The sequence below is a fragment of the Homo sapiens genome, chromosome 1 (genome assembly GCF_000001405.40).
Source record: "Homo sapiens chromosome 1, GRCh38.p14 Primary Assembly".
NCBI lineage: Eukaryota > Metazoa > Chordata > Mammalia > Primates > Hominidae > Homo > Homo sapiens.
The window spans coordinates 73,299,826-73,317,643 of NC_000001.11; the positions used below are offsets into that span (position 1 = coordinate 73,299,826).

Here is a 17,818-nt window from a genome sequence, read left to right on the forward strand (position 1 = left end):
GCCTCATTTATAAGGGCATAAATCCAATTCATAATGGTGGAAACCTAATGACTTAATCACTTCCCACAAGGTCCCTCTTCATGCCATTAACTTGGGGTATAAGATGCAATATACAAATTTTGGAGGGACACATACATTCAAACAATAGCAATTGGGACAAATATTCACTTTAGTGGAAATACAAGAAGTCACCTAGCCCATCCTGGGTGAGTGGGGAGACACGCAGAGCTTTATCAAAGACTAGCTTCAAAGTCATGACCTTAGATAAACAGTTGACTCTTGAACAACACAGGATTTAGCTGTGCAAGTCCACTTATAAGGACATTTTATTTCACCTCTGCCACCCCTGAGAAAGCAAGACCAGCCCTGCCCTTCCTCTACCTCCTCAACCTACTCAATATGAAGATGACATGATGAAGTTGAAGACCTTTATGATAATTCACTTCCACTTAATAAAGGATAAATAAATTTTCTCTTCCTTATGATTTTCTTAATAACATTTTATTTTCTCTTTCGTACTTTCTTGTACGAATACAGTATATAATACATATACCATATATAAAATGTGTTAATCAACCGTATATGTTATTGGCAAGGCTTCTGGTAAAAGTAGGTTATTAATAGTTAAGATTTGAGAAGTTAAAGTTATACACGGATTTTTAACTGTGTGGGGGTCAACACCCCAACCCCCATGTAGTTCAAGGGTCAACTCTAGTTCATATATAGCTAGTTAGCCAGATGAGTGATGTGAGGATGGGGACAGAGAATAGAAAAGTACTCCAGTGAGAAAGTGTCAAAGATAAAGCTGAACACTAAAGTGCTAAGGACAGATTGTAATCAGTAATATATTAGTGTGGTTGGAAAGAGTCCAGCATGAACTGAATTCAACTTGATTTTCATAGAGGTAACGGCATTTTAGAAAGAGTATGAGGGAATAAAGGTAATGAACATGGGCTCACTAAAGTCAGGGAAATAAAAAAGTTATTAAAATGAGGAGTGGGGGTTTAGTCAATGTGAAACCCATTTTGGGTTTGTTAACTGAGAGTTATCAGAGTTAGGCTCCTACTTTCTCATACAGGCTGGGAGACACAGGCCCTATCTTTAGGTGTTGAATGACAAACACTCAAGTCCTTTAGCAGTCTTGAGTTTTCTCACACAGGCACTTTAAGGGGGCCAAGGGTCATTCTAGGGACGTAGCCTTTAGGTGTTAGAAACAATGTTTGTTTTTTGTTCAGGTCTTTACATGTCAAGGTTACAGCCTAACTGAGAAGAGGGCTCAGAGGAGCCTGGCTAAAATTTGGTCAAAGAGAGAATCTTTGTAAAGAGTATTACATATATAACAACAGAGAGGCAGAAGAAATATACTGTTTTAAGTATTGAAAGTGGCTTTATCAGTCATGATATAGTAGGTTACAATGCAGTAACAAACTAAGAATTCCTAATGATTTAATACATCAGAGGTTTATTTCTCACATATACCAAGTCAGCGGTGTTTTCAATACTTCTTAATGGCAACTCCCTCCCATGTGATGACTCAGAGATATGATGGGTCTGCCTTATCAACAATGGCTTCCAGGGTGCTACAGCCTGGAAACAGAGAACAGGTTGCTCATGTGGAGCATTTTCTTTGCCTAAGTCCAGAAGTTTTCATTGTTAGTTCTGCTCATAATTCATTAGCCAGAACAAACCACATTGTAAATGAGAGAAATTCAATTTAAAGAAGGTTACACAGAAAATAGGAATTAAAGAGAATAAATCTGATATTTTTTAAAAAGTAAAAGAATTTAAAACATACAAATCTTGGTAAAAGAATGAACAAGAACTAGAACAGAATACATCCATAACAGAAATTTATGCAAATTCTGTTTATGATACCAGCATCAATGAATGGTGTGACTTATCTCCTTGTATATTTCCATTTCCCTTTTTCCAAGTCTCACATTCCCAAGAGAAGAAATCCAATTGTCTCAGCTCAGGCCTGTTTTCTCCTTCTGGATCGTTCAGCTATGACAGGAGAGGCACTGCCAATTTAGCTAGATATTGCTACAATATTCACTTTCATTATACAGAGAACATTCCGAGAAAGAGGAAATCATGTCACCAATTTGACACTGAAGGGACATCTACTGAAATAAGTAGTATGAATATTTTTGATAAAGAAAGGTATAAATAGCAGGATATCCTATGAAGTAATAATTTACTTCATTAAACTTCAATTACTTCAATAACTAAAACATCAACTGGCAAGTTTCGTACTTCAACATAGGACTGACCTCTTTCAATCACATGATAGTTGCCCTGCTTTTCAGGGGAATGAGCAGACAGAAAGTTGAATTAGGAGAGTTGAGAATAAATAGGTTGTACCTTTTTTCTTGCCCAAGACTCTGAAGGCAGCCACAATGCTTTATACATAAATGTGCTTATACTGTCAATGTAAATATGAAAATCAGTGGAAGTGGACTTCAGATATATCTCAGCAGCAGAGGGCCAAAGAAATGGAAGATAAAAGACTTTAATGGTTAAAAAATATACTCCCAATGCTCTAAAGAAGATATACAGTGGGGGGAAATGTGTCCTCAGCAAGAGAATGTGGCTGAGAGTAAACTATTCCAGTTTAACAGGGTGGAGCAGAGTGGGGTACAGAGCGTTTTCCCAACATTTGACGAAGTCACTGTAGAAGCTAGTATGAAAGAATCCCAAGTAGACATCAAATAGGAGATGCAACGAGACGTCAGGGGATTAGCTCCAGCAAAAGCCAAGATAGAACGGAATTAATGGAAAAAGACTGCAAAGGCTTCCTGGAGCAATCACCTCAGATTGTGCCAAACAACCATAGATACATTTTTATCAGCATGAGCACAGACCAGTCGCATCCTTCCACAATGGCGTTAAACTTATCCTGAATCCAGACATAATCCCAATATCTGAGGCAGATGAGCAGCTCCTTGAACTGATGAAATATTAAATTAAAGTGACTGATAAATCACTGGAATTGAGCTAATTTGGCCGAAAGCATCCAGATTAACATTTTAGCTTCAGACAGACTGGAGCTCAGAGTCAGAGTTTTAAATCACTACAAGAAATAAAAAAAAAAAAATTCTATGGAAACTGTAATATTATCCCTTCTACATGTTTCTAAACTTTGGAATAAAAAGCAAAAGTATAGTGAATATGTTCAATTTTAAAGGCACAATGCAAATATGCCTTAAGAAATTAAATTAATAGCTTGTTATAATAAAAGGAGGTAAAGAGAAATTGATGTGAAGTCTAGACTTGAGACTCTAAAATCGGCCGGGCGCGGTGGCTCACGCCTGTAATCCCAGCACTTTGGGAGGCCGAGGCGGGCGGATCACGAGGTCAGGAGATCGAGACCATCCTGGCTAACACAGTGAAACCCCGTCTCTACTAAAAAACACAAAAAAATTAGCCGGGCGTGGTGGCGGGCGCCTGTAGTCCCAGCTACTTGGGAGGCTGAGGCAGGAGAATGGCGTGAACCCGGGAGGCGGAGCTTGCAGTGAGCCGAGATCCCGCCACTGCACTCCAGCCTGGGCGACAGAGCGAGACTCCGTCTCAAAAAAAAAAAAAAAAAAAAAAGAAAAAGAAAAAAGAAAAAAGAAAAAAGAAAAGAGACTCTAAAATCAACTCTCACACACAGAATGTATGTTTTGTGTATGGAGGATGGATATGGATGATAGCTGCTTGAAACTTTGAGATCAAAAAAGATCATATTATCAGATTGTAATGAACAGTATATTTTTGGATTTATATATGTGGGTATGTACATGTGTATAATATAAATAATATACAGAATAAGAGAGGTTGTTATGATTCACTGCTTTATCCTAATTAAATTAAACCTAAAATATTTTATTCAGCTAGCGGCCAACATTTAATATTCTAGGAGAATAGAAGAGTTACAGACAAATTGAGACTTATTAATTATTAATAGTGATTACTTCTTTTGAATATAAATGGTCTTCTACATAGAATGGAGAAATAGTTGAGTAAGCTGGGCTTTAAAGCACTTTTCATTCTAAAGTATTTTCATTCTTTCGGTTGTTAATTTTTTAGGACAGAGATTCAAAATTGATTATTGAACTTAAACATTAAATTAACCCTATAATTTCCCAACTTATCCAACCATGCAAATAACGCCCTAGGCACCACTGACCCTGCATTTGCAAGGAGTTAGAAAATTAGGACAGTGGCTTTTTTGTCTGGACATTCTTTTAGCTGAATCTAAATATTCTTATTCTTAACATATAATGAGAATAAAGATATGAAATGATCAATATTTTAAATTCAGTGAAAGTGAACATTTTTATCTCACTGAAGTGACTATTTTTCATCAATTATAATTTCTATGATAACTTTAGGGATGTCTTGCATTTATTTTATCACAATGTTATTTTAAACACAAACTGATGTAACTAAAACTTATAAACATTTAATTTGCACGCTAAACACCAGCTCCACATTTGTAAAGAAAAAAAAAACTTAGTATTACCTAGTGCAGAACTTCATCCAGTATTCTGTGATTTTCGAGATATCTGAGACAATCATTAAGCAAAATTTGACTAAGCAAAGATATATTAATATTACACCTGCTGGGACACAATAAAGTTGACTGAATCTTACAATACTCCCTTGCTGTATCTTATTAGGGGTATTATCAACCCTCATTGGCTTAGGTAAGTTAAAGAAATTTGGGAAGTTATTAGAAATTTTTAAACAAGTCAATTATCAGGTCAAATATACATATTTTTTTATACCACTAACACTTGGTGTAGTATGTGGAAGACATTAGAGCATGGGCAATTAATCATAAAATAAAAGTGTTGTAAGGTCCCTATTTGGAAACAGGAGTGGCAGGATTAAAGCATAGATTAACCTTGATCTACACTATTTAAGCCACGTAAAATTTCCGAATAAATATTTAAATTAAATATAAATTGTTGCACTTTTCAACAATGATAGAGGTTGAATGTAAGAAAAAAATCAATAAACAGAATAAGACTCAATCAATAAATTTTTTTAAAAGGAAGAAAAAAGCTTACGATAATCATTACAGGAAAAGACATGAAGTAAGATGATTCTCAAAAATGCCATATATTTCAATCATGATAATAAATATTAAAGTACAACATTTATCAGCTGAAAGGAAGAGATCAGTTTGAAATGAAACAAATTACCATAAGAATTATGTAATTTACAGGAGAAATATCTATAATGTAAGAGCTTGGAAAGCTTATATAAAACTATTTGGAAAAAAAATGCATCTGGTGTAGATTCACCAAAATAAAGCTAGAATAACTATATGAATATTACAAAATAGACATTAAACTCAATAGTGTCTTTAGAAGTAGATATGGTTATAGTAGTTTGAAAGCTTCAATTATTCAGATAGATTTAATAATTGTACACTTAATTTCAGTTAATTCTATGGTCTCAATATATAAAGACAAATGATTAGAATTATAAGAAGAAACTATATATCATAGAACAATTCAATATATCTCTGTAAAATATTGACCAATAAAGTAGAAATAATTAGGAAATGTATAAGACATTTGAGAAACATAATTAATATGTTATTTAAGAAGCAGGTATAGAATCATAGAATTAATATGTTATTTAAGAAGCAGGTGTACAATAACTTGAAGAAACGTAAGTTCAAAGCTTACATGAAATAATTACAAAATGTAAATAATCACAAAGCCTTAAAGCAAGCCTCAAAAAATTTCAAAGATTCAGTATTATAAATACAATGTTTTCTGTTCATAGTAGAATTTTGATTGGATTTAAATATAAAAGAAGGTATAAAAAAGCAGAAAATATATTTCCATATAACTCATGAGTCAAGTTATCAAAATGGACATTTGAACATACTTAGAATTGAATGATAATAAAACTATCAAATAACAACTTCATGGGATATAATAAAATTTATAATGTCAACTATTATAAAAATTTTTGAAAATTCAAGATAGACATCCAATTTAAGAAATAAAGGAAGCATACAGTCAAGTAAATTATGAATAATAAAACAAATTATTAAGATTAAAAGGAGATTCTCAAAATGAAATTTGATTCAGTAAAAAGACCATTGTCTTCAGTAAAAAGACCTATGTTTTCAAGTTGAATTGAAAGCCAAAACATATTTTAACTATATTTTAAACAAGTTGAATTGAAAGCCAAAACATATTTTAACATATTTTAACCATAACCAAAACATATTTTGACCATATCCCTTATTATTGAGGGAGGTATTTCTTCCCTAGTGCTGTGGGGATGACTTGGACAGAAACCACTGGACACTATACAGATGTAGACTGACAGTTTACTGGTCACCTGCACTAACAGCCTGAGAGAAAAGGACACTGCATATCACAGAGAGATGCATAGATGTTACACTCAGAAAGAGAGTGAACAACTAGAAGATGTGGAAGGCAAGCTTTTTAGTATTAAGAGGGTAGGTTGGGATGTTTTCTGGTTCCTGGTAAAGGATGAGATTGTCTTGTTTTAATAATTCTTCAGGCTTGCTGTGAACTGAACCTACTATTCAGCAATAGGCAAAAACTATACCTGTTCCCTTTAATAAGGTGGATATTTTGGCTTGGGGAACTTATCCATGGGAAAAAAAAATGGGGAGGAGAACTTGCAATTAGGCAATTTTAAGTCCCCCTTGATTTTACCAGATGTCAAAGAAGCACAAAATATGGATTTTTAATTTTAGGTCTTACCTATAAAACCAGTGCAAAAAAAACCCCACAAGTAAATAAATGCATATATAAATAATAAATAATATAAAAATAGTAAAAAAAATGCATTATTTATACATGAAATGTTACCTACACAAATATTTTAAGCATGATTTACAATAGAACCAGTAAGTTCTCCCGTTTTCAGATATTAAATAGTTATAAAATAGATAACAAATTATAGTAAACTAGAAAATGTTATTTTTATTTTGTTCAATTTTAGAATAGGAACAAAAACAGTAAAAATATCAGAAGGAAATCTAACAAAAGATAACACATTTATGGAGATAATTACAAAAGTCTTTGATAGAGTGTAGCAGAAAGATAAATTAGGTCAACCACCACTTTTTAAATTTTCTGGTAAATGTGCATTATTATATTGCATTAATTAAAAAAAACTGAAAACCACATTTCTCACATTCCTTTGCAGTTTAGATTCCAGAAGATATTTAAGCTCTATCAATCCAACTTGGATTTGAGCATTGTACCCAACTGAACTTGGACTTGAATTTGGAGTCAAATTCCATTGGGGATTTTGCCAGTGTGCAAGGCATTTATTTTTGCTGTTGCATTTCTTTTAGAACCAGTTTGGCTCTGGAGTCAAGAATTCTCAAAACAGCTTTCTGAACCTGAATCGCACGCAGTAAAGCTGGTGTTCTCCTGAAGCCAACATTTATGGTATCACCTTGCTGATCCAGGCAAAATGGCAAAAGTGTAGTGAACATAAAGCCAGGGGCTGAGATTGTGGATGTCCTCTGTACCAAGTTTCTTATTATGGTAAGGGTAGAAGTTCACCAGGTCAGTAATGTGATTTTGTCCAAAGAGCCATTTCTGGAGATCTAGCCTAAACATTGCTCCTCCAACTCTTCCCATAATTTGTTAACAATTGAATAATTGTTCTGTTTAAAATAGTTTGGATGTTTTATGTTTTCTGCAACTTTACTGTTATCATAACAAAGACATAAATAAAGATCTAAATAAAGTCAGAAATACACTCTTACAGAAAAGGTTTACTATTAAAAGGATATAGGTGCTTTTCAAATGAGTTGATATATTGTTTCCCCTGAAATTTTATTGATTCTAAAATGTATGCAGAAATATTATATTAACAATTATTAACATAATATGAAATAATTATGGTAAAAAAAATGTATTGACATAGGGAAAGAAAATAAACCAAAGCGGCAGTAAATCAAATTCCTAAGAACTCAGACGTAGGTCCTTGTTCACATTCATTCATTCAATAATATGTACTTATTCAACAAATATTTAGTTATTGCTAAGTCAGAAACTGTTTATAGGCTGTGAAAAACATAGGGAACAAAAGATAAAAATCTGTCCTTATTTAGCTTCTATTCTGGAGCAGGGAATAACAGAACGCATTTTCTAAACAATTGTATTTTCTAATTAGTGCAAAAGTATAATTTAATTTCTGTCTCATACTATACACAGAACAACATATATCATTGAAAAAATTTTAAAAAACCAAAAAGGCTCATTAAAATTATTTAGTATATTTAAATATTGTCAATTAAAAATAAAATTAAAAAAATGATTTAGAGTTTCAGTTCTGACATGCAAAGTGCTAGTAAGTCCTCACTCTATGCCTTTTAATAAAAAAAAAAAAGGTGGGCACACTATACATCAATGACTTTTGTGAGACTTCTGTTCTGTGAAAGATATCATTTATAGAATCAATAATCAAGCCACAAATTGAAAGAGCAACATGTATCTGATAAAGAACATTTATCATAAGATAAAGAGAGCTTTAAAAACTCAATGATAAAATAATACACTCAAAACATGGGCAGAAAATCTGAATAAGTATCATCCAAGATATTCAGATGGTAACATATGAAAAGAAAGTAAATATCATTTGTGATTAAGAAAATGTAAACTAACAAAATAATGGCATACTACTACATGACAATTAGAATGGCCCAAATTTAAAAAAAAAAAAACAAAAAAAAAAAACAACCAAAAACGTGACAATGAAAATATTTAGCAAGAATATGGAGAAAAGGAACACTCAATAACTACTAGTAGGAATACAAAATTATACATCTACTTTGGAAGACAGGCTGTCAGTTTCTTTCAAAGCTAAACATAGTGTTATATTATTCAGCAATTCCCTCCTAGGTATTTACCCAGATGATTTGAAATCATGTTCATACAAAGACCAGCATTTAAAAGTTTGTAGAAATTTATTCATAATCAACAAAACCTAGAAGCAATCAAGTTGTCCTTTAAACAGATGAATGAATAAACACACTGTGGTACATCTAATATGATGGGCTACTATTCAGATATAAAAAGGAATGAGCCATGCCAGAACATTGATGAATTTTACATACATATTGCTAAGTAAACAAAACAAGTTTGAAAATAGTACATAATGTATGATTCCATTTAGATGACATTTTTGAAACAGCAAAACTGTACACACAGTAAAAAAGTTCCCTGGTATTAATGGTGGGGAGAGTGTTTGGGGAGTAAATCATAGGGGATTTTTTAAAGGAGAGTATTTTGAGTGATAGGGTAATGGTGGATACATGACACTGAATTTGTCAAAACTCATGGACCTTTCTAGCATAAAGAATAAACCTTAATTTATACAAAATAAATAATTTAGGATAGCTGATTATCCCTATTTGGAAGACAAGCTGTGAAAAAAGTATAAATGCATTACAAATATATAAAATAATCTCAATAAGAGGAATGAGAATAAAAGGTTCTGAACTTAGTAATTTTGGAAATAACTGGAGAGTATACTGTTAGAGGGAAAAAATGTACTCTACCTGATAAAGCTGTTTGTCTCCTATGATAACAATTCTGAAACCATAATACACGTATAACAGAATCAAATAGTTAAGCATATACATAGCAGGTGGCAGAGGCCTTGTTTCTCACTGTTGGACTGAGGTTACAGACAAATAAGGGAGAAGTCTTGAATGATCTTTGTGCAATGTATTAAAATTAACATCAGTACAAACCCATTTTTAGCTTGAAATATGTGGTGTTATGTACACATAGAAATATTAATACTTGTCTGTATATATACTGATTAATATGCACAAATACATTGTCTTGTTCTGCAGCTTAGTGGGCCTCAAAACACTGCCACCATAGCAGTCATAACAAGCCTAGTGCCCAGATCTTGGATTCTGAAATCATTCTTCAATAAAAGTAACAAGGTCTCTTTGAAGAAATATCTGCTTCTAGGTTCAGGACAAAAAATATCGAATGATCCTGGAGCTTCTTGTAGTGCCATAAAGGATGGAGGTACTAAAATAGCTACAATGAGGGGTATATCAAGGGAACACAGGAGCCAACTAAATGAGTTCCCAATGGCCAAAGAGGAATACTTTGAGCAACAAGATACGTAAAGTTGCAACCAAAGTATAAACTGAATATTCATGAGTTTATACCGATTTGAAAAAGTAATTAAATAAATAATTGTAGAAGATGAGGCAAATATCTCATGCAGAAGAATTCCAAATAATTTATGATTTATGTGGATGCTTAGTCCTCAAGCAGGAAAAGTATAACTGCCTTCTCTTTTGGTGCGACATGCGGTTTATGACTTTACAAAGAGGAGAAAAGAGTAACTTTACAGTTGGGAAATCTGAACAATACTACCTCAGCCAGGTATCAGAGTTAACAACAGTTATATGTTATGTTGATAGTATGTATCCTTGAAATGATCTGATAAGAATGGCACTTTACCTCTTTGGTGTTCCGCTAAAAAGTTCATTGTCTCAGTTCAATCATAAGATTAAAATTAGATAAACCTCAATCTAGGAAAATTTTACAAAATATTTGAACAGCACTGCTCAAACCTATCAAGGTTATAAAAAGCAAAAAATGTCTGTGAAACTGCCGCAGCCAAGAAGACCCTAAGGAGCCATAACTAAATGTAATTTTACATTATGAAAAGGAACTTAAAAATAACTACATAAAAAAACTAAGAAAATCTGAATAAAGTATGGACATGAAATAATCATAACACACTAATATTAGTTCATTAATGGTGACAAATATTCTAGCATAATATGTCAGTAGTAGGAGAAACTGGGCATGATATATGTGGAAACTCCGTGGAATCTTTGTGACATAACCGGGTATCCCAGCCTCAAAATACATTTAAATTGTTTTTTCCTCTCTGGCTCTCAGCCTTGAAACATACTTTGAAACTCTTTGTTTTTCCCTTTTCCTCCAGCCACCTCTGTGAATAATGCTCACTTATCTAATTATGTACTTTCTTAGAAAATTCCAAGGGCCAATTTTGAAACAAACCAGGCAGAGACCCAGATGCAGAATCCTGCAGGCTGAGGGATGTTAGGAAGAGTTAGCCCACCACTGCTGCGCTGAAACCAGGATGACGCAAACTGGGCCTCAGGCCAGGTAAGTTCTCAGGATAATCATGCAAACAAGACACACAGACCTGCACCCTCCTGCGCCACGTCCACATGTTTCCCACACCAAATTTTCCTTCTTAAACCCCTTCACTCAGCCCAAAAAGTTGGTATGGTCCTTTAAAGGCAAGAGCCTGCCCTTCCCCAGTTGCTAGCATTTGAATAAATTCTCTTTCCTTTTACTCACACCTCACTTCTCATGTTTTCCATCTCTGAGAGGCAAGCAGCCTGACTTGAGCTGTTTACTGTGACATTGCTTTACATCTAAAACTATTCTAAAACAAAAAGTTTATTTAAGAGCATTGAAAGACTTGACAATATTTTAAAAATCTGTTTAACAAAATACATCACATTAAAAGTTATAACATTTGGAAAAGATAATGGTAACATTTGAAACTGATAAAGATAAGTATGCAAATTACTTAAAGAAATTCTATTTTGAAAGGGAATTTGAATAAGCAGTTTGAGAAACTGAACCTCTAATACCTAATAAAATATTAAAAGGCTCAAATTCACTGATAATCAGAGAAATGCATATTACAATAGAGTCCATTACATATCCATAGGCTGGGCAAATTAAACTATTAGCAAATGTTGATGGGAATGTGGAAGCTCTTGGATCCTGAGAATGGGCCAATAAATAAGTCAAACCACATTGGAGAGACATTGGCAATATATAACAAAATTAAAACTGCATGTACTGTTGCAAAAATGTAAAACCATGTGATTTTCTTATTACATCTTTTTAGAAAAATAGTAATTTTTAACAGAATTTTATTGACATAAAATAGTTGTTTTGTTATTTTTGAAATAAACTACTATTTTATACAATTCTCAATTTTGATTTTTAATATATTGAATGCTTAATAGTTATAATCCTCATAAACAGATGATCTTTGGGATGCTCAATACCTTTTAAGAGCATAAATGGGTCTAGAGATCAAAAAGTTTGAAAACTGATTCCCTAAAGGAATCCTTCCACATGCATTCTGATAAGGAAACATTTATCAGAAATTGCATGTGCTACATGGCATACTACAGGACATTAGTGTGGAAAGCTGAAAGTAACCTATCTGGGATTGATAAAAATAAATTCATTGTATATTTTTAATACAACAAAATTTTTAAAATTTAGTGATTAGAATAATTATATTGGTACCAATATGAATGAATCCACAAAACATGAAGTGTTCAAAAAGTAGTTTACTGAGTATAAGAACATGTAAATTTAAAACCACAACATAAAAACCACTCTGTATACTCTGTATAGATTTTTATATATAACTGATATGGTTTGGCTGTGTCCCCATCCAAATCTCACCTTGAATTTTAATAATCCCCAAGTGTCAAGGGCGAGGCCAGGTGGAGATAATTGAATCATGGGGACATTTTCTCCCATACTGTTCTCCTGGTAGCGATTAAGTCTCAAGAGATCTGATGGTTTTATAGCAGTTTCCCTGCATAAACTCTCTTGCCTGTTGCCATGTAAGACATATCTTTCTTTCCCTTCACCTTCTGCCATTAATCTGAGCCCTCCCCAGCCATGTAGAACTGCGAGTCAATTAAACCTCTTTCCTTTATAAACTACCCAGTCTTGGGTATGTCTTTATTAGCAGTCTGAGAACAGACTAATGCAATATTCAAGTATAAAAACATCTATGGAAAGAATATACATTAATTGTAGGCTAATGATGATCTTGGAGTTGGGTGGAACGATGAGGAAGAGCTTCACTCACATTTTAAACATTTATTATGTTTTAAATTGAGGAAATAAATTTTTCAAATGTAAATATTCATTAAGTGCAATGTTTGACAGATTGATGGTTTGGTATAATGTCCTCTATATTCTGAAGTGTTAAAACATGCAAAACGTAAGTTGGTATGTGTGAGGTATATGTGTGTGTGAGAGAGAGAGGAAAAGAAAGAAGGAGGAAGAGAGATTTAGAATTCTATATTAAAATTAGGATAATTTTTAACATTTTGGGAATTCCTAAGGATGTTACAAAATTCAGAATTCATAAAAGGTATCCTCATCTCAATTGAGAATTTACATCGATCAATTTGTGGAATAGCTTGTAAAAACCAGTTAATCTGCTAAAAATAAATGAGGAAATTTGGGCAAAATATTAATAATATGTGCTTGAAAAATCTAGAAACTTTTCAAGGTTGTAAGTATTAGCAGTGCTGCTTTTAATAAATGTCTTGAATTCCTTTCAAGAACAGAAACCTTAAATGAGTTCAGCATCCTTTCACCTTCAAGGCATTTTAAGTATCTATATACAGCAGTGGAAGGGCTAAGAAATAGAAAAAAAACCTGAGGGATTCATGAAGATAGCAAGAAAAATTGTATTTTGTTTCTTGTAATGTAAGTTTCCTAACAAACATTCCAGGATACAAATTGGAGCACTAAACAACTACATTTGTGAATTAAGAGTAAACCAATAAGGGCCCAGTCCTCACAAAGGAAAAAACACAGCTATTTATTTATTTATTTATTTATTTATTTATTTGTGTTTGAGACACTATCTCACAGTCACCTAGGCTGAAGTGCCCCCACTGGATCTCAGCTCACTGCAACCTCAGGCTCCTGGGGTCAAGGGGTCCTCCTACTTCACCTTCCCCAGTAGCTGGGACTACAAGTGCAGGTGAATCTAGCTAACTTTGTATGTATAAATGTTTGTTTGTTTGTTTGAGAGAGAGATATATATATATATACACACACACACATATATATGTAGAGACAGGGTTTCTCCTTGGTGCCCAGTTTGGTCTTAAACTCCTGGTCTCAAGTGATCCTCCTGCCTTGACTTCACAAATGTTGGGGTTACAGGCTTGAGCCACTGTGCCCAGCCAAGCACAGCTTTAAAACCTTGTGAATCCAGATGAAATTTAGGAATTTTGGATTGCTTGTGTCCAGTTACTAGCCAGAGAAAATATTAACCAAACTGTAAGGGAATGTAATATCCAGAGTTACAAATAATTTCTGTACTTTTTCATATAAAATATCAAGAAATCAAATAAAAATAGGCACACACACAGCAATATGAATAACAAAAAGAAGTAAAAAATAGAAATCGGAAGCTAATTCAGATAAAAGAGTTATCAGACACAAAGTTTAAGATACCTGTAGTTTGTATGTACAGTAATAGAAAAGCACACATTTTAGAATAATTTTCAGAAAACTAGAAATTTTTAAATAGAAATTTTAGAACCAAAATTACAATTAAAATTAAAGACTCAATAGCTAGAATTAAAAGCTGATTAAACATGAATGGTAAGAAGATAGGTAGAAAGTGGGAAATGGGAAAAATAAAATATCCTAAATAGATCACCAAAAGACAAAAGAATACAAAACACAGCAAAATGTTTCAAAAAGAGAGCGGACAAAAGATGTATTTAGAAATAAAATTATTCAAAAATGATGAAAGGCATCAAATAAGAGAGCTAAAGAAACCGAATATAAAGGACAAATAAGATCAATTTTAAAAATAACTAGGCACAATGTATTTCAAAAGTTAACAAAGACAAACCTTAAATCAAAGTAAAAGAGGTATCATGCTTTAAAGAAAAACAAGACTGACAGCTATTTCCCAAAAGAAGCAATAAAAAAAACAGAAAATAATGGAAAGAGATCTTTATGATGCTAAAAGAAAACAACTTCCAGCAATAGAATTGTATACCTAGCTAAGCTATTATTTTGAAATGAAAGTGAAATAAAGATATTTTTGAAAAAAAATTTGAAAGAATTAGTCATCAGTGTATCTATAATAGTAGAATAGAACTATTATTGGAAAGAAACAAAAATGTAATTCTTTGCAGACCCTATGATTTAGTACATTGAAAATTTAATAAATCATTCTATATACTATTAGAATAAATAAATCGATTTAGCAGGAGTGTTTTATATAAGGACAACATAAAAATAGTATATCTATCCAGTGGAAACAAATAAAAAGAAAATTTAAAATACTTTCAGTAACCTTTAAAACATCAAATATTTAAGAATTTTACTTTGGGAGACCAAGGCAGGTGGATCACAAGGTCAGGAGTTCAAGACCAGCCCTGTCTCTACTAAAAATACAAAAAATAAACAAATAAATAAATAAATAAATAAAATTAGCTGGGTAAGGTGGCGGGTGCCTGTAATCCCAGCTACTTGGGAGGCTGTGGCAGAGAACTGCTTGAACTTGGGAGGCAGAGGTTGCAGTGAGCCGAGATCATGCCACTGCACTCCAGCCTAGGCGACAGAGTGAGACGCTGTCTCAAAAGAAAAAAAAAAATTAAGAAAAGATAGCCAATATTTTTACACAGAAAACAATATAGCATTTTTGAGAGAAAGAATTGAATAAAATATAATAAATTTATGGATTGAAAGATTAAATATTGAAGTAGTCCCCATTCTTCCCAAAATAATCCCTATATCATTTTAACAAATACAGTTTTTTTTTGCTATGGAACTAATTGTTCTACAAAATTAACAGAAATTGACTTATTTAATTTTCATAGCAACAAAATGATATCGTTATTATGGTTATTTCCATTTTATTTGAGAAACCTGAGGCCCAGAGATTTAAAAAAAAAAAAAATCATGCTCATCACACTGAAGTAAATAGAAGGGTAAGTAAACAAACCCAGGCAGTTGGTTCCAGAATCTCCAACATTAATTAGTATATTGTGCTGTCTATCTAGAGAGAGATGAAAAGTTACAGATATACATATAGTTATAGAAATATTTATAGCTTTAGATAGAAATGTAAGCATGTATAAATGAATGTATATATCTGTGTATATATGTATATAATTAAAGTTTAACTTTAATTTAATAATTATTTTTATCGATTTAAAAAGTAACCTTATGGTCATCAAATCAGTTAGTCCTTGACTTCGCCATTTTTAACTTTGGTCCCATAAAAAAATATATAAACATATATACATCTGTGTGTATGTGTGCTATACATTTTTATACGTATGTCTGTAGGTGCACATCCATGTATATGTATTTTTCTTTGTTTAGACCAAAAATAAATGATTATGATAAGATTATTTTTAAGTCAATAAAAACATATTACTTAAAGTCAAATTATCAAGTTATTTGGTGGTATATCCATCTAAAATAATTACATTTGCTTGTAATAAGAAAAAAATTGCAATAGAAGGACTAAAATTCACGTAAAGCAATTGGCAGTGCCAGAAGGATAAACAATGAATGAATGTTTTGATTATTTTTCCTGGTACTTACAATAAATTAGGTCCATAAATAATTTCTTAGACATTATTCTGACAGTATGTTTTCTAGCTCCATTTTTATCAGTATAAATTAGAATGAGTCCTCCTAGGATGGAAGAAAGTACAGTTCTCGATGTTGTGATACATATGCAATGACATGATAGAAAGATACATAATAAAATAGATATGTCTAATGAGGAGATTAACTAGAGTTGTACTCATTACAACTATTTAAGATTCTCTGACAAATTGAACTGGCTTATATACTCAACTTATAAAACAAAAAAGTACTTTTTTTCCCTGAACATATTTTGTCTGTGGCTACCAACTATATGTATCACCAAAAGTTACACTGTAACATACTATTTGATTCAGTAATTCTACAATGTAAACCCTGACATGTCAAAATAAGTGTCAAGATTATAAAACAGAAAACTATTCCACACAGAAAATAAGGTAAAATCCCCCAGTTCATCTCTCTTGGGACACATATTAATGAGTAAATGAATATTATGTGTCATTGTGCTGTTTAATGAGAAAAACACACAAAGAATAGCAACATCCATGAAAAAGATAAAAGATATTTGTTAAAATCTTTTAAACAAAATGTTACATGATTAAGAAATTATAATCAAACTGTGCATTACTCCTTTTTTATGGTACTCATCCACCATTAATTTTGTGGTAATAATTCTAAACTTAAAGAGCATAGTAATTGGTAACTTAAGTATACTGTTAAAAAAATTAAGACAGTCTATATTACAGACTGTCTATAACTTATTATTACTATGCAACATTTTCAGAAAATGTAAAAAGAGAAAAGACAAAGAGAACCATATGACTTTAATGAGTCATCTCTGAAACTTTCCTGATGAAGTAAAAAAATGGTAGTGCTTCCCAAATACTTTGTGTTTTTTTATGGAAAGCATTAGTCTCAATAGAAAACTTCTTTATTGATTTATCTTTATTGGAACACAGAAATAGCATACCAGCAATAAAAGAAAAAAAATTCTATCAAATTAAAGACCGGATTTAACTCTTTAAATTGATTGTAAACTTTAGTGATTTGTATTCCAGTAAAAGTACTGATTGCTAGACAATTTGAAAACTTTTTCATTATTTCATAGGATATTTCTGCTGCTAGCTTTTTGTTTAATGAAGATTAAGTAGAAATGGGGGAAAATACACAATTCACATTTCTGAATCTAAAAATGTTCCAAGCATTACAAATTTGATTGCAGACTAAACTGCATAGTGATTTATTACACATACCTAGGATAAGGATTGAATTATAGTTGGATCCAGCATTGGATCTAACTTGCCACTCTTAAAATATTTTTCATGTGAGGCCAATTTCTTAACCTCAGTTTCTTCACTGACAATCTGACAATAGTGATAAAAATTGAGTCATATTTT

At 32.3% G+C, this 17,818-nt stretch overlaps 1 long non-coding RNA gene and 1 pseudogene across 2 annotated transcripts in view; one reads left to right on the forward strand and one right to left on the reverse strand.

Annotated features, from left to right (window-relative positions):
• LOC105378800 (endogenous retrovirus group K member 21 Gag polyprotein-like) overlaps positions 1 to 17,818 on the reverse strand; it is a 213,368-nt pseudogene that overhangs the window by 170,678 nt on the left and 24,872 nt on the right.
• Positions 6,345 to 17,818, forward strand: part of LINC01360 (long intergenic non-protein coding RNA 1360) — a 32,708-nt gene continuing 21,234 nt past the window's right edge. Inside the window, exons 1-3 of one of the 2 annotated variants that reach the window (NR_110676.1) lie at positions 6,345 to 6,449; positions 7,343 to 7,538; positions 11,028 to 11,165. This is a non-coding gene — a long non-coding RNA (long intergenic non-protein coding RNA 1360). Of the gene's footprint in view, positions 6,450 to 7,342; positions 7,748 to 11,027; positions 11,166 to 17,818 lie in introns of those variants that run through there. The other variant, NR_110677.1, reaches the window with a different exon arrangement.